This window comes from Homo sapiens, chromosome 6 (assembly GCF_000001405.40).
Source record: "Homo sapiens chromosome 6, GRCh38.p14 Primary Assembly".
Taxonomy (NCBI): domain Eukaryota; kingdom Metazoa; phylum Chordata; class Mammalia; order Primates; family Hominidae; genus Homo; species Homo sapiens.
In genome coordinates this window covers 35,800,442-35,824,598 of record NC_000006.12, presented here as the reverse complement: position 1 = coordinate 35,824,598, position 24,157 = coordinate 35,800,442, and the positions used below count along the sequence as shown (strand labels likewise).

The 24,157-nt window shown below is 46.9% G+C and overlaps 1 protein-coding gene across 1 annotated transcript, besides 1 other annotated feature; it reads right to left on the bottom strand.

Annotated features, from left to right (window-relative positions):
* On the bottom strand, positions 529-19,247 carry LHFPL5 (LHFPL tetraspan subfamily member 5). The gene is made up of 4 exons (NM_182548.4): positions 18,517-19,247; positions 9,817-10,053; positions 5,136-5,162; positions 529-1,617 (listed from the first exon to the last, which is right to left on the bottom strand). Exons 1-3 carry the CDS (start codon positions 18,926-18,928, stop codon positions 5,152-5,154), a joined length of 660 nt encoding a protein of 219 aa, NP_872354.1. The 5' UTR covers positions 18,929-19,247; the 3' UTR covers positions 529-1,617; positions 5,136-5,151.
* Positions 19,209-19,378: a silencer, noted in NCBI's record as "silent region_17101". NCBI's record gives its function as "represses an Ori minimal core promoter by ATAC-STARR-seq in GM12878 lymphoblastoid cells {active_cell/tissue: GM12878}" and the evidence as "EXISTENCE:reporter gene assay evidence [ECO:0000049][PMID:35858748]".

Sequence of the window (24,157 nt, the reverse complement as noted above, 5' to 3'; positions counted from 1 at the left end):
AAAGCCAGTAAAGAATAACAATACAGGCCGGGCACGGTGGCTCACACCTGTAATCCCAGCACTTTGGGAAGCCGACACAAGCAGATCAGTTCCAGACCAGCCTGGCCAACATGGTGAAACCCCATATCTACTAAAAATACAAAAATTAGCCAGGCGTGGTGGCGGGCACCTGTAATCCCAGCTACTCGGGAGGCTGAGGCAGGAGAATTGCTTGAACCCGGGAGGCGGAGGTTGCAGTGAGCTGAGATCATGCCACTGCACTCCAGCCTGGGCAACAGGATGAGACTCCGTCTCAAAAATAAATAAATAAACAAATAAATAAATTAGCCAGGCATGGTGGCACATGCCTGTAATCCCAGCTATTCAGGAGGCTGAGACAGGAGAATCTCTTGAACTTGGGAGGCAGAGGTTGCAGTGAGCTGAGATGGCACCTTTGCACTCCAGCCTCGGCAAGAAAGCGAGACTCTGTCTCAAAAATAAATAACAATACAACAACAAATACAAATTAAAAGCCACACAGTACGAGTATTTACATAGCATTTACATTGTATTAGGTATTATAAGTAATCTAGAGATGATTTAAAGTATACAGGAGGATGTGCATAGGTTATATGCAAATACTACGCTATTTTTAGCTGAGGACTTGGGCATCCATGTATTTTGGCATCTGCAGGGGATCCTGGAACCAATCCCCCTATAGATGACTATATGCCAAATCCAAAGTTTTTGAAAAAAAAAAATGTCATCTATTCCTATAACAAATTACTTGAACATAAGTAACACATTTCTGAAGCTGGTAGCCAGTTCTGGTTGAGTCAGTGTGGGCACCATAAGGAAATGTGATATTTGGCTCCCGGGAGGAAAAAAGTCTGCAGAGATTTTAGATCCTATCACCCACTCTTCATAAAACTTCCTGGTGGATGTTAAAGGATTCAAGTTCTGATGGCCCCTCCATTCCTTACCCCCCTCTGAGCAGCAATAAGAAAACAAAATATGAGAAGGGAGAAGCAAAAGACCCCCTACACCTCACCCTAAAAATGACCCAGCACATGTCCAGCCACCTCTTCAGTGCCCTCTTAGAGCTGGTTGGGCATTTGTGTGTGTTTGAGAGAGAGAGAGAGTGTGTGTGTGTGTGTGTGTGTGTGTGTGTATATATATGTGTGTGTGTATGTATGTGTGTGTGTGTGTGTGTGTGTGTGTGTGTGTGTGTATATATATGTGTGTGTGTATGCTATCAGACACAGACCTGGGAGGGAAGGCCCCTAGAGATGGACCCATTTAGCCCTCTCGCTTTACAGAGGAGAGGCTTCAAGAAGGTGAAGCGATTTGCTGCTGTGTGGAACTAAGAAATGGACTTGGATCCCATCCCCAGCAACTGAGCACTCCCTGCACCGCTCAGCCTCTGAATATCTTTGAAGTGGGTCACTGCAGTTCTGCTTCCCCAGAAAGAGTACAGTAGGAGGTCTTGTCTCAGGAGACTGTCCAGTTTTAGTGTTATAATAAAAGGCTTCAGGCTTCAGGCCTATAGTAGCCAGGAACAAGGAAACTTGGAAGAACAAGTTCTTATCTCTGAAGAATTTGATTCCCTAGTTTTCCTGTGTCTGGGAAATAGATGACCTGTGGTATAAGAAAAACAAAAGAACAAAAGATTCCAAGAGTTTAAAATCTGACATTTTAAAAACCAATATAGGCTGGGTGCAGTGGTTCACGCCTGTAATCCCAGCACTTTGGGAGGCCAAGCCGGGTGGATCACTTGAGGTCAGGAGTTCGAGGCCAGCCTGGCCAACATGGTGAAACCCTGTCTCTACTAAAAATACCAAAATTGGGCTCACACCTGTAATCCCAACACTTTGGGAGGCCAAGGCGGGCGGATCACGAGATCAGGAGATCAACACCATCCTGTCCCTCCTAAAAATACAAAAAATTAGCCAGGCGTGGTGGCACGTGCCTGTAGTCCTAGCTACTTGGGAGGCTGAGGCAGGAGGATCACTTGAACCTGGGAGGCAGAGGTTGCAGTGAGCCGAGATCAGACCATTGCACTCCAGCCTGGACGACAGAGCGAGATGCTATCTCAAAATAAATTACAAAAAACAAAACAAAACAAAAAAACTATGTATCAAAAATAAATAATAAACACTTCCCTATGTATGCTCAAATTTTGACTTCAGTTCTACCTAGACATGCAAATTTCCTCATTCATGTGTAAGATAGTACTGATTGTCATTCAAGTAAAAACTTAGGTCTTTTAAAATGTAGTGTGAGGAAAAAAAAGGCAAACAGAGAGGTGTGGTTGCCCTTTGATTCAGTAATGCCACTTGGGATATTATCAACAGAAGCAAAAAGTTTTGTTATCTATGATAGCAACCCTAAATGTCTAATAACCAAGGTCTGGTTTAAAAAATGGTACACCAGGCAGGCGCAGTGGCTCATGCCTGTAATCTCAACACTTTGGGAGGCTAAGGCAGGAGGATGACTTGAACCCAGGAGTTCGAGAACATCCTGGACAACATGACAAAACATCGTTTCTTCAACAAACAAACAAAAAAAACAAAATTATTATAGCTGGGCAGGAGGTATGTGCCTGTAGTCCCAGCTATTCAGGAAGCTAAGGTGGAAGGATGACTTGAGCATCAGGAAGTTGAGGCTTCAATGAGCTGTGATTGTGCCACTGCACTCCAGGCTAGGCAACAGAGCAAGACCCTGTCTCAAAAAAAAAAAAAAAAAAAAAAAAAAAAAAAAAATTGTGGTACACCAGTGCTGTGGAGTTTCTGGCTTTGAAAAACCTAAATTAAAAATATTGCAAAAACATAAAAAAGGGAGCCGAGCACGGTGGCTCATGCCTGTAATCCCAGCACTTCTGGAGGCTGAGGCGGGAGGATCACCTGAGGTCGGGAGTTCGAGACCAGCATGACCAACATGGAGAAACCCCGTCTCTACTAAAAATACAAAATTAGCCGGGTGTGGTGGCGCATGCCTATAATCCCAGCTACTTGGGAGGCTGTGGCAGGAGAATGGCTTGAACCCAGGAGGCGGAGGTTGCCATGAGCCAAGATCATGTCATTGCACTCCAGCCTGGGCAACAAGACTGAAACTCCGTGTCAAGAACACACACACACACACACACACACACACACACACACACACACACAAAGATTATGCTCTAATGCTTTTTTATGCAAAATGTGATTCCTGTTTGAGCAGCCTGTCACCCAAAAACTCATTAGAAATGCAGGGTCTACGGCCCCAGACCCACCCCACCAACTGAATCAGAATCTGCATTTTTTTTTTTTTTTTTGAGACTCAGTCTTGCTCTCTCTCCCAGGCTGGAGTCCAGTGATGGGATCTCAGTTCATGGCAACCGCCGCCTCCTGGGTTCAAGCGATTCTCCTGCCTCAGCCTCCTGAGTAGCTGGGATTACAGGTGCATGCCACCACACCCAGCTAATTTTTGTATTTTTGGTAGAGATGGGGTTTCCCAATGTTGGCCAGGCTGGTCTCTAACTCCTGACCTCAGGTGATCTGCCTGCCTCAGTCTCCCAAAGTGCTGGGATTACAGGCATGAGCCACTGCACCCAGCAGAATCTGCATTTTAACAAGATCCCCAGATGACTGTATGCACGCTGAAGTTTGAGAATCATGCTCTAATAAGTGCAGGAGGTGGAGGTGACAATTTTATGTATGATTATTTTTAAAGTATATGTGGTCAAGGATTGGAAGGCACTTTGCAAAAATAAAAACAGCTTAAATGGAGCTAAACCCTCCTTCCCACAGAAAGCGCCTGGTCGGCTGTAGGTCCTCCAGGCAGCTGTTAGGGAGGCAACACTGTTGTGAGGGTTTCTTTTTCTTTTTTATTTTTTTAATTTTATTTTATTCTATTTTATTTATTTATTTATTTATTTTGAGATGGAGTCTCGCTTTGTCGCCCAAGCTGGAGTGCAGTGGCACGATCTCAGCTCACTGCAAGCTCCGCCTCCTGGGTTCACACCATTCTCCTGCCTCAGCCTCCCAAGTAGCTGGGACTACAGGTGCCCACCACCACACCTGGCTAATTTTTTGTATTTTTAGTAGAGACGGGGTTTCACCATGTTAGCCAGGATGGTCTCGATCTCCTGACCTCGTGATCCGCCCACCTCAGCCTCCCAAAGTGCTGGGATTACAGGCGTGAGTCACCGCGCCCGGTCCTCTTTTTCTTTTTTAAATGCATTCCTGAATGTTCTTGTTAAATCACATTTAACAAATGTTTGGAAACTTAAAAGATAAATGAATATGTTGCGCTTCTTTTTAAACCAGACATTAAAACTGGTTAACTTACTGTTTTTCTTTTTGCCTCGGCTATGAGGAATCAGAGCTAAATTTAATACTCAAGACAGTAATACTATTAGTATAGCTTTTTTGAATATTTGTTTTTCTGTCTATGACTTTTATTTTCTATTTTATTAGGTTTTCTAGTATGTTTCTTACAAATCACTTAAAAATTCTTTCTGAAAATAAGGGTCCAAATTACAATAATGACTTCTAAAAACAGTCTGTTCTTGTGTGCCAGGCTCCATAAAACATGAATTTGTGTTTGAAATTATTTCTTCTTTCCCTGATCTTTTTCCGCCTTTCAAGACACAAGTAAGGCCAGGCGCGTGGGCTCACACCTGTAATCCCAGCACTTTGGGAGGCAGGGGCAGGCAGATCACCTGAGGTCAGGAGATGGAGACCATCCTGGCTAACACGGTGAAACCCCGCTTCTACTAAAAATACAAAAAATTAGCCAGGCATGGTGGCACGCACCTGTAATCCCAGCTACTCGGGAGGCTGAGGCAGGAGAATGGCTTGAACCCAGGAGGTGGAGGTTGCAGTGAGCCGAGATCGCACCATTGCACTCCAGCTTGGGCAACAAGAGCGAAATTCCATCTCAAAAAAAAAAAAGACACAGGTAAAACTAAAGGCTTCCTGTTTGCTCCCCAGTGAGGGTCTCAGAGGCCAAATAGCTCCTGCCCCAGTGGGGTGTTGGTCCTCTCTCCCCAAGCAGCATCACAGCCTTACAGCCCAGCCCCTGGTGTCCTGATGCCTGAGGATTCAGTAAGGAAGCAGAGAGCCCCAGCCTTTCTAAGGGCACGCAGACCACCCTCCCATAGAATTACTCACCGACCCTTCAGCTGCTTCACACCTCCTCTGTAATGAAGGAGAGAACAGTATACGTTACTACCAAGTCTCGTTTTTAGGATAATTTCCTGCACACTACTCCATCTCCAAACTACATCAGATTCCTCTTACTCTCAAGAAAGCTTGCACTTTTTTGTTCATATCATTTATCAGCTTGTAACTGTATCGCATGATTGTCTCCCTTACCAGACCATAAGCTCCAACTTAGATTTCCCTTAACCACTGTACTTCCAGTGCCTAAAGGCATTGTTAGGCAGCTGAAGCACATTAGCTGTTATTGGTTGGGCAGATGGGTGATATAAAAAATGAATATGGCCCGATGCAGTGGCTCACACCCATAATCCCAGCACTTTGGGAGGCTGAGGAAGGTGGATCACTTGAGGCCAGGAGTTCGAGACCAGTCTGGCCAACAAGGTGAAACCCTGTCTCTACTAAAAATACAAAAAATTAGCCAGGTGTGGTGGCACATGCCTGTAATCCCAACTGTTTGGGAGGCTGAGGCAGGAGAATCGCTTGAAAATGAGAGGCGGAGGTTGCAGTGACCCCAGATCACGCCACTGCACTCCAGCCCGGGTGATGACGGGGCAAGACTTTGTCTCAAAGGAAAAAAAATAGTGAATATGCTGGAAAGACAGAAAGGAGAAAGAACTATCAGATCTGCTACTGTGGCATCAAAAAAAAAAAGGGAGAACTAATTTATTAATCACTTGCAATGTGCAGGCATTGTTAGTGCTTTATATATGCTATGAGATCCTCAGCACTTCCTTTTTTTTTTAATTAATATAATTCACTAACAAGCTGGATGCAGTGGCTCACACCTATAATCCCAACACTTTGGGAGGCTGAGGTGCACACCAGGATTCTGAGACCAGCCTGGTCAACATGGTGGAACCCCGTCTCTACAAAAAAAATTTTTTTAAAAAGCCAAGTGTGGTGGTATGGGCCTGTAGTCCTAGCTATTTGGGAGGCTAATATGGGAGGATCACTTGAGCCCAGGAGGTGAAGGTTGCAGTGAGCTGAGATCATGCCACTGCACTCCAGCCTGGGTGACAGAGCCAGAATCTGTCTCAAAAAAAAAAAAAAAAAAAAAAAAATACATATATATATATATATATATATATATATGGCTTTTAGTATATTCACTAGATTGTGCAACTATCATCACTAATTCTAAAACATTTTCATCACCCCAAAAAGAAACCCTGTGCCCATTAGCAATCACTCTTGTTTCCCCTCCTTCCTAGCCACCTCCTAATCTGCTTTCTGTTTCTATGGATTTGTCTATTTTGAATATTTTATAGAAATTGAATCACAGATATACAAATGGAAACCAGTCTTTTGTGTCTGGTTCCTTTCATTTAACATGTTTTCAAGGTTCATCCACATGGTAGCAATGCTTACTACTTCATTCCTTTTTATGGCTGGATAATATTTCATTGCATGGATATACACATTTTGTTTATCTGTTCATCAGGAGATGGAATATACTAAAAACCACTGAATTGTATTCCATTTTTTGGCTATTATGCTGCCATGAACATTTGTGTATAAGTTTTTGTGTGAACATTTGTTTTTAATTTTCTTGTGTGTACACCCAATAGTGGAATTACTGGGTCATATAGTAACTCTATGATTAACCATTTGAGGAACTGCCAGGCTGCTTTCTGCAGCAGTTGCAAAAGATTTGCATTAGTAGTGAATGAGGGTTCCAATTTCTCCACTTGCTCACCAACACTTGTTATTATTCACCTTTTTTATTATAATCATCTTAGTGGGTGTGAAATTGTATCTCAATGTGGATTTGATTGGCATTTTTACAATGACTAATGATGTTGAGCATCTTTTGGTGTGCTAATTGGCCATTTGTATATCTTCTTTGGAGAAATCTCTATTCAAATCCCTTGCCCATTTTAAGCATTGGGTAGTCTGTCTTTTCATTGTTGAGTTATAGGAGTTCTTAATATATTCTGGATTCTAGATCTTATCCAATTATAATTTGCAAATATTTTCTTCCATTCTGTGGGCTGTCCTTTTACTTTCTTGATGGTGTCTTTTGAAACAAAAAAAAATTTAAATTTTAATGAAAGCTGATTTATCTATTTTTTTCTTTTAAGATTTTTTTTTTTAGATTGAGTCTCGCTCTGTTGCCCAGGCTAGAGTGCAGGGGCACAGTCTTGGCTCACTGCAAGCTCTGCCTCCCAGGTTCACACCATTCTCATGCCTCAGCCTCCTGAGTAGCTGGAACTACAGGTGCCCACCACCACACCCAGCTAATTTTTTGTGTTTTTAGTAGAGACAGGGTTTCACTATGTTAGCCAGGATGGTCTCGATCTGTCCTCATGATCCACCCACCTCGGCCTCCCAAAGTGCTGGGATTACAGGCATAAGCCACCGCATCTGGCCTCTTTTAAGATTTTTATAGTTTTATATTTGTGTTTAGGTCTTTGAGTTAATTTTTGTATATGGTGTGAGGTAGGGGTTCAATTTCATTCTTTCACATACAGAGATCTGATTGTTCTAGCACTATTTGTTGGAAAGACTATTCTTTCCCCTATTAAATAGTCTTGGCATCCTTGCTGAAAATAAATTGGCCATAAATGTTTGGGTTTATTTCCTTTTTTTTTTTTTTTTTTTTAGATGGAGTCTTGCTCTGTTGCCCAGGCTGGAGTGCAGTGGTACAATCTCAGCTCACTGCAAGCTCTGCCCCCTGGGTTTATGCCATTCTCCTGCCTCAGCCTCCCAAGTAGCTGGGATTACAGGGGCACACCACCAAGCCTAGCTAATTTTTGTATTTTTAGTAGAGATGGGGTTGTGCCATGTTGGCCAGGCTGGTCTCAAACTCCTGACCTCAAGTGATCTGCCTGCCTTGGCCTCCCAGAGCGCTGGGGTTACAGGCATAAGCCTCTGCACCCAGCCCTACTAGTTCATTTTTTCTTCCCTTTATAGAATCCTCAAGGGATCCGGGATCTAGGCCTTTCCCTGACCCAGGAACTATAGGAATCTACCCTACTGTGATGAGAAGAAATCTTTTCTCTCCTTGGCCCAGCTCTTTCTAGTAATTTGTTTTCTTTTTCTTTTTTTTTCTTTTTTTTTTTTTTTTGAGACGGAGTCTCGCTCTGTCGTCCAGGCTGGAGTGCAGTGGCGCGATCTCAGCTCACTTCAACCTCTGCCTCCTGGGTCCAAGAGATTCTCCTGTCTCAGCCTCCCGAGTAGCTGGGACTACAGCTGCGAGCCACCGCACCCAGCTATTTTTTTTTTTTTTTTTTTTGAGACGGAGTCTCGCTCTGTCACCCAGGCCGGACTGCGGACTGCAGTGGCGCAATCTCGGCTCACTGCAAGCTCCGCTTCCCGGGTTCACGCCATTCTCCTGCCTCAGCCTCCCCAGTAGCTGGGACTACAGGCGCCCGCCACCGCACCCGGCTAATTTTTTGTATTTTTAGTAGAGATGGGGTTTCACCATGTTGGCCAGGATGGTCTTGATCTCTTGACCTCATGATCCACCCACCTCGGCCTCCCAAAGTTCTGGGATTATAGGCATGAGCCACCGTGCCCGGCCTGTTTTCATCTTTAACCACATAACAGGTGGTTATCCTTCTCTCACCCCCAAAGAAGGATGAAATGTTTCCTATCACTTCCTTATGGAGCAGTGGGCCCCGGGCTTGGCCAGAGAGGACCTGAGTTCTGGGCTTCTTTGCCACTGCCTTTCTGGGAACTTCTGAGTGACTTTCCCTTTTGGGCTTCAAGTTCCTCATGTGGGAAGAGTCCTTGGTTATAGTGCACAGAGGAGTTTGGCTGCTGCTTCTAATCCAAGGGCTAATGTGAAGACAGCTATGGGGAAAAGAGACTGGAGAGGTTTCTGAGGTGTAACAGGTCCCCAGTGATGGCCACCTGCTGAGATCAGGCATTTGGGGATTCACAGGGGTGCAAGACAGGCCTTGCCCTTGACTTGGGGAAGAAATTTATGCTCTGAAAAATTAGCCCAAGACAGGCAGGGGAAGAGCCCAATGAGAAACAGAAGCAAAAGGCACCCTAGGAAGAAGGGAGTAATGGGAAGCAATCAGGGAGGGCTTCCTGGAGGATGTGCTTGGGCCTCAAGGATCAGCTACAGCTGACTTTTATGACTGACAGGTAGGATTTGGATGGGAGGGAATTGAAACAGGACGAACATTACGAGAATCCCAAGGCTGCTGTTCCTCCAGGGATCTCGGGCTCCCACCAGCTGCACTGCAGGAGCTGTCACTTCTGCACCCTCATTGGCCTGTTCTCAAGGTCGCACTCCCTCCCCAGCAACTCATCTGCTGTTGTTCCCCATCTCCACCAACAAACTTCCAGGAATATTACTTCGAGACCCCGCCTCAGTGCCTCCTTCTAGGGGAGACCACACTTAGCCCCCAAGGCTGGATTGCAGCTCTCTCCCCTATAGCCTCTGAGAGTGTAGAGGGGTGAGGGGGACATTCCTTTATCACAGATCGCCTTATCACCTGCTAGCTTGCAACCCTCCACTGGCCTTTGATTTCAGGGAGGACAAGGGGTGTGTCTGATTAGTCTTGGTGTCCCCATCCCTTGGCCAGGGACCAAGCCTTAGAGGACTGGCTAAGATGAACCCCCACCCACATCCCAGGGTCTCCAGGCAGGGGACACCATTGTGGAGTTGGGTGATTACCGGTTCCATCTGCCTTGTAGTCGTCAGGGAGGAGCTTGTCCTGCCGGTAGCCCAACACGAAGGCCAGGAAGGAGAGGATGAGGGCGTCGCCAATGCTGAGGATGGCCAGCATGAAGGCCCAGCGGATGGTGCAGTGGCCCAGCGTGTACTTGCCCGTCTGCTCCCCACACATGCGCCGCACCTCACTTGAGTCCCAACCATCAGGGTAGACCAGGCAGCCAATCATTAGGCCTGTGGCTGAGGGGGAAGGAGGGGTGCACATGGCATCAGGCCGAGTGTGCCTAGCCCGCTACCTCCCACACCTTGCACTGCTGTTATGTTGTCACCTCCCTTCTCCTTCTGTTAACAGCCTCAGGAGGCATGAGAGGCAGCCTCTACCATCCTTCTTGCAGAACACAGGTGAGAAAACTGAGGCTCTGAGAGTTAAAGCAACTGGCCCCCGAGACCCAGTAGTTGGGGCGGAGGCAGAGCTGAGCTCCTAAGCCCAGGCCGGCTCTGCCACCACACCAGGTGGTCCTCCCAGGCCTTCAGCCATTCTCCTCACCTTGGACTCAACCAGGCACCACCTACCCTGGCTTCAAAGCCCTCCGGTATCTAGTCCCAGCCCAAAGAACTCATCACTGCTGAGATGTACATTTCTTCGTACTTACAACATCTGTGAAATAAGCTCAATAAGAAAGTGTCTAGCCTGGGGGTGGTGGCTCACACCTGTAATCCCAGCACTTTGGGAGGTCGAGGCGGGCAGATCACCTGAGGTTGGGAGTTTGAGACCAGCCTGACCAACATGGAGAAACCCTGTTCTCTACTAAAAATACAAAATTAGCAGGGAGTGGTGGTACATGCCTGTGATCCCAGCTACTGGGGAGGCTGAGGCAGGAGAGTAGCTTGAACCCTGCAGGCAGAGGTTGCGGTGAGCTGAGATCACACCATTGCACTCCAGCCTGAGCAACAAGAGCGAAACTCCGTCTCAAAAAAAAAAAAAAAAAAAAAGGAAAAGGAAAAAGAAAGTGTCAGGCCATGGCCAGATTATCAGTATATTTTGTTTTTATGGTACATAGAATAACAGTGTGTCCTACAACTCAGGTATCTTAGATTTAATGTATACAGGAAGGCTTTCCAGACTGTCCCTGGCTGCTTCCTTCAAAAGCCTTCCATTCAAGCAAACAGGTTTCCTCCTCACTCTTACCCAGTACAGCATAGTCCAGTTGCTACACGTCCCTAAATTTAAGAATCCCCTGGAGGCCGGGTGCGGTGGCTCACGCCTGTAATCCCAGGACTTTGGGAGGTCGAGGTGGACGGATTACAAAGTCAGGAGATCGAGACCATCCTGGCTAACACGGTGAAACCCCGTCTCTCCTAAAAATACAAAAATTAGCCGGGCATGATGGTGGGCGCCTGTAGTCCCAGCTACTCGGGAGGCTGAGGCAGGAGAATGGTGTGAACCTGGGAGGCGGAGCTACAGTGAGCCGAGATGGCGCCCCTGCACTCCAGCCTGGGCAACAGACCAAGACTCCATCTCAAAAAAAAAAAAAAAAAAAAAAAATGCTAGTTCCTAGGTCATGGTTGGGTTCAATAATCCCTGTTTTCAAAAGCACTCTTCCAGGTGATTTTCTCAGTAGGAAAAGCTGGGAAACACTAGACTAGGCTGCCTGGATTTCAAACCCAGTTCTCTGCTACCTAGCTATGTGACTCAGAGCAAGCAACTTAAGCTTTCTTTTCTTTTTTTTTGAGACAGAGTCTTGCTCTGTCGCCCAGGCTGGAGTGCAGTGGCACGATCTCGGCTCACTGCAACACCCGCCTCCCGGATTCAAGTGATTCTCCTGCCTCACCCTCCTGAGTAGCTGGGATTACAGGCATGTACCACCATGCCCGGCTAATTTTTGTATTTTTCATAGAGACGGGGTTTTGCCACGTTGGCCAGGTTGGTCTTGAACTCCTGGGTTCAAGTGATCCGCCGGCCTTGGCCTCCCAAAGTGCTGGGATTACAGGCGTGAGCCACCGTGCCCAGCCATACTTAAGCTTTGTTTGCCTCAGTTTCCTCATCTACAAAATGGACATAATAATAACCCTAACCTTCCTGTTGTGGTTACAGCAAGGTTCAAATGAGTTAATACTGGAAAAGAGTGTAGAACAGTGCCTGGCACAGACTTGGCACTCCATAAGAGTTGACTGTGAGAGTTATTATCACACCCTGTGCCTTACTTGACTTATTATTTACAGCTAAAAATTCTGTTGCCCCCACTTTCCCCCCACTTCTTCCATCCCTTTCCATCAAACCATCCCCTCACCTTAGCTTTGCTGGGGTGAAGCAGAGACAGGTGACATAATCCAGGATGCAACTGGGGCAGCCAGCCCCAGGCACAGCTGCCCCACGGGCAGGGGGTGCTCCCCTTATCTGTGCCACTTTCCCACAGGTCTGGAGGCTCTCTAGTCCCAAGGTTGTACCCTACTCAGGAGACCCTCAGAAAAGCACCTCTTCAGGCCTAAAGTTACCTTCCCTGCTTCCAGCTTGTTCTACAAAGAAGGTCAGGAGGTCAAACAAATGCACAGTAAATGGAAAAATCAGGGTCCCACCTCCCCACCTAAATGTATCACGCTTCCTTTGATCTTTTTTAGGAGAAGCTTATTTAGATAGTTCTTTATAGATCACAAAATACTTCATGTACCATCTTGACTGTGATCACCTTTCTGTGAAGTGGGCTGGCTATTAATATCCTCATTTTACAGATTAGAAAACTGAGGGCTCAAAGAAACCAAGTGACTTACCAGCCATCCAGTCATCCAGCTATGACAGGGCCAAGGCCTGAGTTCTCCATTCCTGACTTTCCTGACTTCAAAGTTTATTCCCTCCACCCCCAGAACATGACATCTCTCCCAGGGGCTGAATGTAATTAGCGGTGACATTTCAGACTTCCTACGTGTTCAGTGAAAACTAAGTGTTCAGGAAGATACCCACGGTGGAGGAGAGGGAGCCATCCACAGCTCCGTGGTGAAACCTACGTAGCCAGCCCTTCCCCGACTTGATGTGAGTCCAGCCCTCCAGTGCCTGGCAGGGCCCCTGGCTTCATGGGCAGAGGTGAAGGTGGGAAGGAGCTGCCCTTCCAGGCTTTGCATTCTCTCCATCACTTCCTCCCGTGGCCCCTCCCCTCCTGCACCATCTTCCTGTGGGGGCTCCGGAAAAAAGCCCAGGGCCTCTGACCTGGAAACAGGGTGTTGGTGCCACAGTCCCCTGCGAGCACTCTACCCATCCACCCACGGTTCTGGGGACAGTGGGTGTCAGCCCCAGTTGTGGCATCTCAAGGCTCTAAGCAGAAGCCAGCACAGTGTTCTCAGGCCAGGTTACTTACCCTCTCTGACTTCCGTCCTGTTGTCTGTAAAGTATCTGACTCATAGCAGCACTGTGAGGATTAAGTGTGATCATTTACAGAAAACGCTTACTATGATGTCTTGTACATGGAAAGTGGCCAATTAATGTTAGTCACTGCTATTATTATTGACATTGGAGTCAGACAGAAGCCACCTCAGTGACATGGATGCCATTAGAGCTGCTCACGAATATTCCAGGTGCAAGGCAAGGTTGTACTTCCTTGCTCCGCTCTCTTGAGGTTAAGTGAGGCCATCTGCCTTCCTCTGGCCAATGACATGTGAGCAGAGATGTGTGTATTTCCGGGCCACAGCACTTAGCTGCAGTGGGAGACCTCCCAGAGTTCCCTTCCCTCTGATGCGAGGACAGCTGATGGTGACTGATGCCACTAGCGAGGGTCCCAGGAGACAACAGTGAGAGCGGAGCCCCCACCGATCCCCGGTTGGCACGGACCATAAGCAAGAAATACATAAACCGTTGTTCTAAGCCACCAAGATTTGGGAGTGGTTTGTTACTACGGCATCACTTCTCATGCTCACTGATATAGTTGTTTCTTGTGTTTTTCTTTTCTTTCTTTTTTTTTTTTTTTTTTGAGACGGAGTCTCACTCTGTCGCCCAGGCTGGAGTGCAGTGGCGCGATCTTGGCTCACTGCAAGCTCTGCCTCCTGGGTTCACGCCATTCTCCTGCCTCAGCCTCCCAAGTAGCTGGGACTACAGGCGCCCGCCACCAAGCCCAGCTAATTTTTTATTTTTGTATTTTTTTGTATTTTTTGGGGGGATTATCCCCTGCCCACAGGGCAGCTGTGCCTGGGACTTTCCCAGTTGCATCCTGGATTATGTCACCTGTCTAATTTTTTTGTATTTTTTTGTAACACGGGGTGTCACTGTGTTAGCCAGGATGGTCTCGATCTCCTGACATCATGATCCACCCACCTCGGCCTCCCAAAATGCTGGGATTACAGGCTTGAGCCACCATGCCCAGCCTGTTTTTTGTGTTTTTCACAGGTACTGAGCACTTACCATGTGCAAGGTGTTTTACATGCATTCTATTATCCCATCTTCACAGAACCCCCCTGAAGTGGGTACTGCTGCTATGTTCTACAGATGGGGTACAGTGGAATGTTTGTTCCTCCCAGATTTCCTGTGTTGAAATCCTAACCTCCAGTGTGATGGTGTTAGGAGGTGGGGCCTTTGGGAGGTGATTAGGTCATGAGGGTAGGGCCCTCCACGAATGGGATTGGAACCCTTATAAAAGGGACCCCAGAGGGGAGCGGGGGCAGCTAAAGGTTGGTTAATGGATACAAAAGTATAGCTAGACAGGAGGAGTAAGCTCTAGTGTTCTTTAGCACTGTAGAGTGAGTATAACCAACAGCAATCTATCGTATATTTTCAAATAGCTGGAACAGCAAATTTGAAATCGTCCCAACTCAAAGAAATGTTTTAAGTGTTTGAGGTGATGGATATGCTAATTACCTTCATTTTCTCAGTAGGAAAAGCTAGGAAACATTAGATCAGGCTGCCTGGATTTCAAGCCCAGCTTGTATACATGTATCGAAATATCACACTGTAGCCCATAAATATGTACAATTATTATGTCAATTAAAAACAATAATAAGGCCGGGTGCGGTGGCTCACGCCTGTAATCCCAGCACTTTGGGAGGCTGAGGCAGGCAGATCGCCTGAGCTCAGGAGTTCCAGACCAGCCTGAGCAACATGGTGAAACCCCATCTCTACAAAAAATACAAAAATTGGCTGGGTGTGCTGGCATGCACCTGTAGTCCCAGCTACTCGGGAGGCTGAGGAGGGAGGATCACTTGAGCCTGGGAGGTCAAGGCTGCAATGAGGTGTGTTCATGCCATTGTACTCCAGCCTGGGTAAAAATAATCATTTTTGAGACCTTGACTCAATAATAATAATCATCAATGCAAATAAATACATAAAAGGGACCTCAGAGAGCCCTGTCATCCTCTTTTCACCATGTGAGGACATCAAGAAGTCAGCAGTCTAGAGCCTAGAAGAGGCCTTCATCAGAGATCTCGTGCTAATGCCATGCCGGCACCCAGATCTCAGACCTCCAGGCTCCAGAACTGTGAGAAATGAATTTCTGTTGTTTTAAGCCCCCTAATCTATGGTAATTTGTTATGGCAGCCCTGACTAAATAGAACTAAGTAAAACTGACTAAGACATGAGGTTACCAAGACTCAGAGAAGACAAGCAGTTTGGTCTACCTGTGTTTCTAGGAGCTGGGACAACTCCCAGCCTACACCTGGCACCCAGAAGCCCAATTAATCTTGTTAAGCTGCAGCCCCACATCGCCCAAGCATCAGTCCTCCTTGCCCCTGCCCCCTCCCTGTTCCCAGGCTTCTTGGCAAGGGTACTAATGAATAGATGTATCTCCCAGCTGCTGGATATGGGACCCGCCCACTCTGCATCTCTCCCTTCGGCTCATTTCCCCTTCCGCAGCACAGCAGAATGGAACATGACACCAGTCTTGCCTTCCCTAACATAAATGTTGCATGAGATGGCACCTGGCCACCTCTGCTATCAGTGTCTCCAGCTTTTCTACCCAGATAGTGTCTGACTCAGATGGCCTGTCAACCCCTCCCCCTCCTGGCACTGCCTGCTCACACATGGCACCTGTTGGGGGATGTTTCAGGGAAGGGGGGTTTGCAGACAGCCCTGAGAATGAGAGAGATGGTTGTGTCTCCAGCATCCCATAACCCTGATAGGGAAGAAGAGCTGGCAAGCATATTAGGGTCTATTTCACTCCTCTTTGGCATAAAACTACTAAATCTTCATTTTCCCTTTGTTCATATATATATATATATATATATATATATATATATATATATATGTATAAAATGAATATATAGTAAAGAATATATATATATATACTCAATATTTTTATTAACCCAGCTAATTTTTGTATTTTTTGTAGAGACACAGTTTCGCCATGTTGCTCAGGCTGGTCTCGAACTCCTGAGCTCAAGCAATCTGCCCACCTCGCCCTCCCAAAGTGCTGGGATTACAGGCCTGAGCCACTGCAGCTGGCCTTATTATTATTTTTATTTATATATATTATTTATTATGATTATTTTTAATTTATATATATATATATATAAAATAGAGATAGGGTCTCACTATGTTGTCCAGGCTGGTCTTGAAGTCTTGAACTTCTGGCCTCAAGCAATCCCCTCTCCTTGGCCTCCCAAAGTGCTAGGACTACAGGCATGAGCCGCTGTGCCTGCCCCCACCATCATTCTTGACATGGCCACCACCTACCTTGCTCCCCACTGCCCACCCCTGCCCCGGCCTCTCTCTTATCATACAGAGAGACTACAGAGAACAGGGAGGTGGCAAGGGGATTTGCTGGGAACTCTGAAGCCATGTGAGTAGCCTGGGTGCAAGATTTGGAATCAAAGGTGCATGCCTTCCTACTTGTATGCTCAAAGACAAGTTACCCACTAGGGGCCTTCTTTGTAAAATAGATAAATACCCACCTCAATGGGTTGTGCTGGGGCTCCTCCAGATATTATATGTAAAGATATTTCATAGATCATTATACTTATGTAAATATGTGGCTCAGTAAAAACATCTTAGGAATACATCTAGTTCCTTGGTCCTCAGTTGCCCGCTTAATTCTTCCTGGTCCTCAGGTGCCTGCTGATCTGCTACAGCCTTGGCCAAGTCTGGTCCTTTCTCTCAGCAGCAGATTCCTCATCTATAGTTGGGGGGTGGATATAGCTCTCTGGGGTCCCCTCCAACTCTGCAGTCTTGAATCTGCATGTTTGGTGGTCTGGGATTCAGATGCCTGTTTCAGTCTCCCTCTTAAAGATGACAGCACTTCTCATTCTGACCAATGAGATGGTTTCACTCTAGTTTCCAGTCCCCGGCACTACTCCTGGACATCTCACCGACATGGACAGTTTGTGGCCCCTGAGGTGTGCAGGGACCAAGGTACCAGAGGCTGCAGCACAAGGTCTTAACCCTCTTCCTGGGCTACAGAGAAGAGCAAGACCACTTGGCACAAGGACCAAGAAGCCTTCCTGAGCTAGAAGCAGGAAAAAGGACCAGGGAGGTTTTGCCTCAAGGCACAAGTAGCTGCCTACCCCACAGTTTTATTTGTTTTATTTTATTTATTATTATTATTATTATTTTTAGAGACAGGGTCTTTCCATCTTGCCCAGTCTAGTCTCAAACTCCTGAGCTCAAGTGATGCTCTCTCCCAAAGTGCTGGGATTACAGGTGTGAGCCGCTGTGCCCAGCCCCCACATTGTTTTAAAGGACCCTAGGCCAGGTGCTGTGGATCACATCTGAAATCCCAACACTTTGGGAGACTGAGGCAGGCAAATCACTTGAGCCCAGCAGTTCAAGACCTGCCTGGGCAACATGACAAAACCCCGTCTCTACAAAAAATACAAAAAAAATTAGCTAGACATGGTGGTGCGCACCTGGAGTCCCAGCTACTTGGGAGGCTGATGTGAGAGGATCACCTAAGTCCAAGGAGGTTGAGGCTGCAGTCAGCTGAGATCATGCCACTGCACTCCAGCCTGAGCCAAAGAGTGAGACTCTGTCTCAAAAAACAAACAAACAACAACAACAACAAAAGGACCCTAAATAGCTTCCTCTACCTCACAAAATATCACTCCATTTGCTGCCTTAAGTATAAAATCCCATGATCAAGGAAAAAAGACTTTCACTCCACAATGAAAGAGGGGAATTTAGATGAAAGTTTCTATAGGCAAGGTCATACCCTGCATAATAGTAACACTCCAAAATCAGCAAGAGACCTTAGAATCTGAGAGCAGTTTGGAGTGGGAGAGAGAGAATGAGGACAGAGTTCTGGGCACTCTTAAAAAGAACAAAAGCCCAGAGGTGGGAGATGAAGGCATCTAGAATGTGCTTGACTGGTGTCACTACTTTGTGCTAGGGTTGAGTCCTATTCCCACATGGCCAACAATGGAAGCTTCCTTCTTTCTCTCTCTCACAGCTGCAAAAACTGATGTGATGGCCTGGGAATCAGGACTGGCAACTGTGTGCTCCTGGGCAAGTCACTTCCCCTTACAGATGAGGTTCTGGGCTCAGATGAGGTTCTGGGCTCAGAACCTCATCTGTAGGATGAGAGGGTTGGACAGCTTGGTCTCTAAGGTCTTTTCTGCCTCTGCCATTTTAAGATTCTCAACTCCTCAGAATCTTCTGCAGAGCACTGAGTAGGACTGGGCTATAGGAGAACAGCTAAATTTAAGGCCCAGAGCCCTGGCAGAGGCTGGGATGGTGCAGCTGCAGCTGTGGCCCCGGGGTGGGCCCCTGCCTGCCCTCCCACCATCTCTGCTTACCCGCAGCCAGCTGCATCCATGCACAGATCTTATAGACTGTGGCCGTGTTGCAGATGAAGAACAGGCTGAAGCAGATGATGGAGCCAATGATGAGGAACATGCCCAAGGCCACAAAGAACATGGCAGTCTTGAAGGCTCTAGAGGGGATGGAGGAGAAGTCTAGGGGGCCGCCCTTGCAGATGAGCTCGGAGGACAGCACGTTACCCACGCAGTAGGAGAAAAGGCCGAAGTAGCCTGCCTGCGGTGTGTTGACGCTGTCGCCGATCCAGTAGGGCTGGATGAAGAGGGCCATGACCAGTACGGAGAAGCAGATGGTGAGGGTACCCCACATCACGCCCACGGCTCGCGAGTTCCGCACATAGTTGGTATGGTAGATCTTGGCTGCCTCCTGGGCCGGCAGCAATTTCACCATGGTGAGGGCAGCAGGCCCTGGGCTGGGGTCCCGTGGGCTGCAAGTCCGTAGCTTTGTGGATGGAGGCCTAGAAGCAGGTCACTCCCCAGCGGGGTTTGGGGAGGAGGCTGAGGTCAGGGCACCAGGTGAGGTCCCTTCAAGGCAAGGGGAAGAGGCTTAATAGGACAAGGACAACCTTGATTTGGTCAAGGAAAGCTTGCCAGGTGCCTGTGTCCGCTCTAGCCGAGGCTGTCTCCAGTCTCCTGCCTCCTCCCAAGCCCACCAGGGCCTGCTGGCGCCGCCCTGCCCGTCTCCCTCTTCCCGGCTCACGGCTCCCGAGAGCCCCGCCCCCTCCTCCGTCCGCGGAGGGCGCCGTTTCAGCACCGCGGCCAGCGCCCCGGGGTTCCGGGCGAGGGGCGGGGCCTGCAGCAGAGGCGGGGAAGGGGCAGAGCTCCCACTACAGGCCCCCGCCGCGGGGAATCGGAACACCGTTCACCTTCCTGAACCGAGATGACAAGAATTGGGAAGGTGGGGATGTGACTGACACATTCCTACTGCTCAATTCCAGCAGCAAAAACGCTTTCCCCCCGCAAAAGCGCTGTCCACATCCCATCCCACCCCGCCCCTGCCTGGCTCCCTAGTCGCCTTCCCAGAACCTCCAACTCCACCACTCCGGAGGTCAGCAAAGCCTTTCCTGGTTGCCTTCTGGTCACCGGTTTTTCGTCCTTAGCATTCAGTCAACGATTTCTAAAAGCATACTATGTGTTAAGATTATGTTGGAGGACATCTAAGCAAAACCACAGATAAAAAAGACAGGGCCCCCGTCCTCAAAGACAGTGAAATATTTACATATATAATATACGTATATATGTAGTCTATATAAATATATATATAAAACGCCTGTATATGCAGACTGATTGTGTGATAACAGAAGCAACTACAAAGTATAGCAGACAACATTCTTTATGAGCCTTCTCAGACCTGAACATATGTGTTTTGTCAAATACAATGCCTTTCTCCCCTTGTTTCTATTTGTTTGTTACATATTTCCCCATTTAAATATATATATGTTTTAATATATTATATATATACATATTTCTCCTGATTTTATAGGTAAATACATGGCTAGTGTAAAGAACTAGGAAAATTCCACTGGGCGTGGGGCTTACGCCTGTAATCCCAGCACTTTGGAAGGCCAAGGCAGGCGGATCATGAGGTCAGGAGATCGAGACCATCCTGGCTAACACAGTGAAACCCCGTCTCTACTAAAAATACAAAAAAATTAGCCGGGCGTGGCAGCACGCGCCTGTTGTCCCAGCTGCTGGGGAGGCTGAGGCAGAAGAATGGTGTGAACTCGGGAGGCGGAGCTTGCAGTGAGCCGAGATCGCGCCACTGCACTCCAGCCTGGGTGACAGAGCAAGACTCCGTCTCAAAAAAAAAAAAATAATAATAATAATAACACCAACGTCCGGAGCTAAGGAAAGACAAGACAATCTTAAAAACATGGACTTTGGGGTTCAACAGGCCTGGATTTGAATGAGCTACTTACTAAGTAACCATCCATGGACTTAACCTTCCTTCCGGAGCCTCAGTTTCGCCATCTATTAAATGCAGGAAATGCACTTACGCCGGGCGTAGTGGCGGGTGCCTGTATTCCCAGCTACTCAGGAGGCTGAGACAGGAGAATTGCTTGAACCCCGGGAAGCAGAGGTGGCAGTGAGCTGAGATCGCACCATTGCACTCCAGCCTGGGCAACAAGAGCAAAACTCCATTTCAAAAAATAATAATAATAATTTTTTTTTTAAAGTGCTCAAAGGTACATTAGTGGTCTCTAATCCCAGCACTTTGGGAGGCCAGGCAGTCCGATCACTTGAGCTCAGGAATTCTAGACTAGCCTGGGCAACATAGCAAGACTCCCGTCTCTACAAAAAATACACAACTTAGCCAGGCATAGCCAGGCATGGTGGTGCTTGCCTGTAGTCGCAGCTACTTGGGAGGTTGAGGTGGGAGAATCACTGGAGCCCAGGAGGTCGAGGCTGCAGTGAACCATGATCACACCACTGCACTCCAGTCTGGGCTTTAACAAAAAAAGAGAAAGTACTCAAAAATGTTGGTGATTATTATTATTACCATTGTTAATCTCTGCAGTTTCCCCCTTCTGAACATACTCCTTTACACAATTGGATGATGTATGTACAATTTTATTTTATTTTATTTTATTTTATTTTTATTTTACTTTTCTTGAGACAGAGTTTCACTCTTGTTGCCCAAGCTGGAGTGCAATGGCATGATCTTGGCTCACAGCAACCTCCGCCTCCCTGGTTCAAGCGATCCTCCTGTCTCAGCCTCCCAAGTAGCTGGGATTACAGGCATGCACTGCCATGCCCAGCTAGTTTTTTGTTTTGTTTTGTTTTTTGTTCTTTGAGACAGAGTTTTGCTCTTGTTGCCCAGACTGGAGTGCAGTGGCGCGAACTTGGCTCACGGCAACCTCCACCTTCCTGGTTCAACTGATTCTCCTGCCTCAGCCTCCTGAGTAGCTGGGATTACAGGCATGGCCGCCACACCCAGCTAACTTTGTATTTTTAGTAGAGACAGGGTTTCTCCATGTTGGTCAGGCTGGTCTCGAACTCCCAACCTCAGGTGATCCACCTGCCTCGGCCTCCCAAAGTGCTGGATTACAGGCATGAGCCACCGTGCCCGGCCGTATGTACATTTTTTTCACTTAGCATTATAATGTTAATATTTTCTCCTATTACTTTTTTTCCCTTTGGTATGTTTTGTCAGTTTCACATTTTTTTTTTTTTTTTTTTTAGACAGAGTTTTGCTCTGTCACCCAGGCTGGAGTACAGTGGCTCAATCTCAGTTCACTACAACCTCCACCTCCCGGGTTCAAGCGATTCTCCTGTCTCAACTTCCCAAGTAGCTGAGAGTACAGGCATGAGCCACCATACCCAGCTAATTTTTGTATTTTTAGTAGAGGCGGGGTTTCACCATGTTGGCCAGGCTGGTCTCGAACTCCTGACCTAAAGTGATCCACCTGCCTCGGCCTCCCAAAGTGCTGGGATTACAGGCTTGAGCCACTGAGCCTGGCCCTTCACTTTTTCACTTTATTTATTTTTTTTGAGACGAAGTCTCACTCTGTTGCCCAAGCTGGAGTGCAGTGGCGCAATCTCGGCTCACTGCAACCTCCACCCACCTCCCGGATTCAAGTGATTCTCCTGCCTCAGCCTCCCAAGTAGCTGGGACTACAGCCGTGAGCCACCACACTCAGCTAATTTTTGTATTTTTATACAGACAGGGTTTCACTATGTTGGCCAGGCTGGTCTCGAACTCCTGACCTAGTGATCCGCCCGCCTTGGCCTCCCAAAGTGCTGGGATTACAGCTGTGCCCGGCCAGTAAGGTTGTTTTGTTTAATTTTGTTTTGTTTTGTTTCGTTTTATTGAGACGAAGATTCGCTCTTGATGCCCAGGCTTGAGTGCAATGGCACAGTCTCGGCTCACTGCAACCTCCGCCTCCCAGGTTCAAGCGATTCTCCTGCCTCAGCCTCCCAAGTAACTGGGATTACAGGCATGTGCCACCATGCCTGGCTAATTTTGTATTTTTAGTAGAGATGGGGTTTCATTATGTTAGTCAGGCTGGTCTCAAACTCCTGACCTCAAGTTATCTGCCCGCCTCGGCCTCCCAAAGTGTTGGGATTACAGGCGTGAGCCACCGCACCTGGCTCAGGTTGTTTTTAATAGTAAAAAAGTGGCTGGGTGCAGTGGCTGGCTCACACCTGTAATCCCAACATTAATAATAATTTTGAAGCTAGCTTATGTATTAAAGATTTTACTTACATTACATAAACTTGAAACAGCATTTGACTAGTCTTTTTTCCTGATAAAGTGTTCAAGTGCTTTTATTTTCTTAAGCCAATTAGAGCTCTTTTATTTATTTTCAGTAGTGAAACACTGTGCACACCACCCATAAATACATAGACATATCAGGCATGCCTATAGAAGTACATCTTACAGATTTATAAAAACCTTTTTTTTTCCTATTTTAATCTTTCAGATTCTTTTTGTTTGTTTTTGAGATGGAGTCTCGCTCTGTCACCTAGGCCGGAGTGCAGTGGTGCAATCTTGGCTCACTGCAACCTCTGCCTCCCAAATTGAAACAATTCTTCTGCTTCAGCCTCCCGAGTAGCTGGGATTACAGGTGCCTGCCACCATCCTCAGTTAATTTTTCTATTTTTAGTAGAGACGGGGTTTCACCAGGTTGGCCAGGAAGGTCTCAAACACCTGACCTCAAGAGTTATCAAATTCTTGATAACCTCTTTCACAACCCTAGGCAGTTGACAGCTAAATAGCCTTAAATTTGCATATTAAAGGAAACAGTTCAGATGAAAGTCAAACAGCAAAATTTACATTATAAGGTGCGCCAAGAAAAGTCTGGTGTTCTAGAGGGAAATTAAAACAGATTTAATTGCCAATTAAACATAAAAGTATGGAAATTATAAAGGCCTTTTAAACACACACACACACACACACACCTTGTAGCTTTTACTTCAGAACTTTTAGCCATGAAATAAATACAAATTCACCTGGCTTGCAAAAAGAACTTGTTGGATCTAAACAGTGGTTTTTCTCTTAATAGAAAAATAACAGCAGATTGCCGGGCGCGGTGGCTCACGCCTGTAATCCCAGCACTGTGGGAGGCCAAAGTGGGCGGATCACGAGGTCAGGAGTTCCAGACCAGACTGGCCAACATGGTGAAACCCCATCTCTACTAAAAATACAAAAAATTAGCTGGGTGTGGTGGCAGGCACCTATAATCCCAGCTACTCAGGAGGCTGAGGCAGGAGAATGACTTGAACCCGGGAGGCAGAAGTTGCAGTGAGATGAGATTGTGCCATTGCACTCCAGGCTGGGCAACAGAGTGAGACTCCATCGAAAGGAAGGGAGGGAGGAAGGAAGGAAGGAAGGAGGGAAGGAAGGAAGGAAGGAAGATTTAGAGCAGGCAGAAAAGAAAAATAGAGAAAAAGATGACTTAGGAATTCTATAGTTTGCAGGTCAACCTTAGGGCTCTTTTTCCTTAATGTAAATGTGCACAAAGACCACGTTATTTCCATTTTACATAAACTTTGTCAGGTAGAGGTGCCATAAAAGCTACGGAGTGCTCAAAAGGGGGTCATTTTCTTTGTTTTCTCCTCATTCTGAAACCACCTTTGCAAAATTATGACTGAGACAGTGAAAGAGATCTAACTTAAG

What these genes read in the sequence shown, in the direction of transcription:
- LHFPL5 (NM_182548.4), bottom strand. Translation starts at nt 18,928, where the DNA reads ATGGTGAAATTGCTGCCGGCCCAGGAGGCAGCCAAGATCTACCATACC. An exon ending in ATGGATGCAGCTGGCTGCGG is followed by an intron (nt 10,054 to 18,516) that starts GTAAGCAGAGAT and finishes CTTCCCCCTCAG; the next exon opens with CCACAGGCCTAATGATTGGC.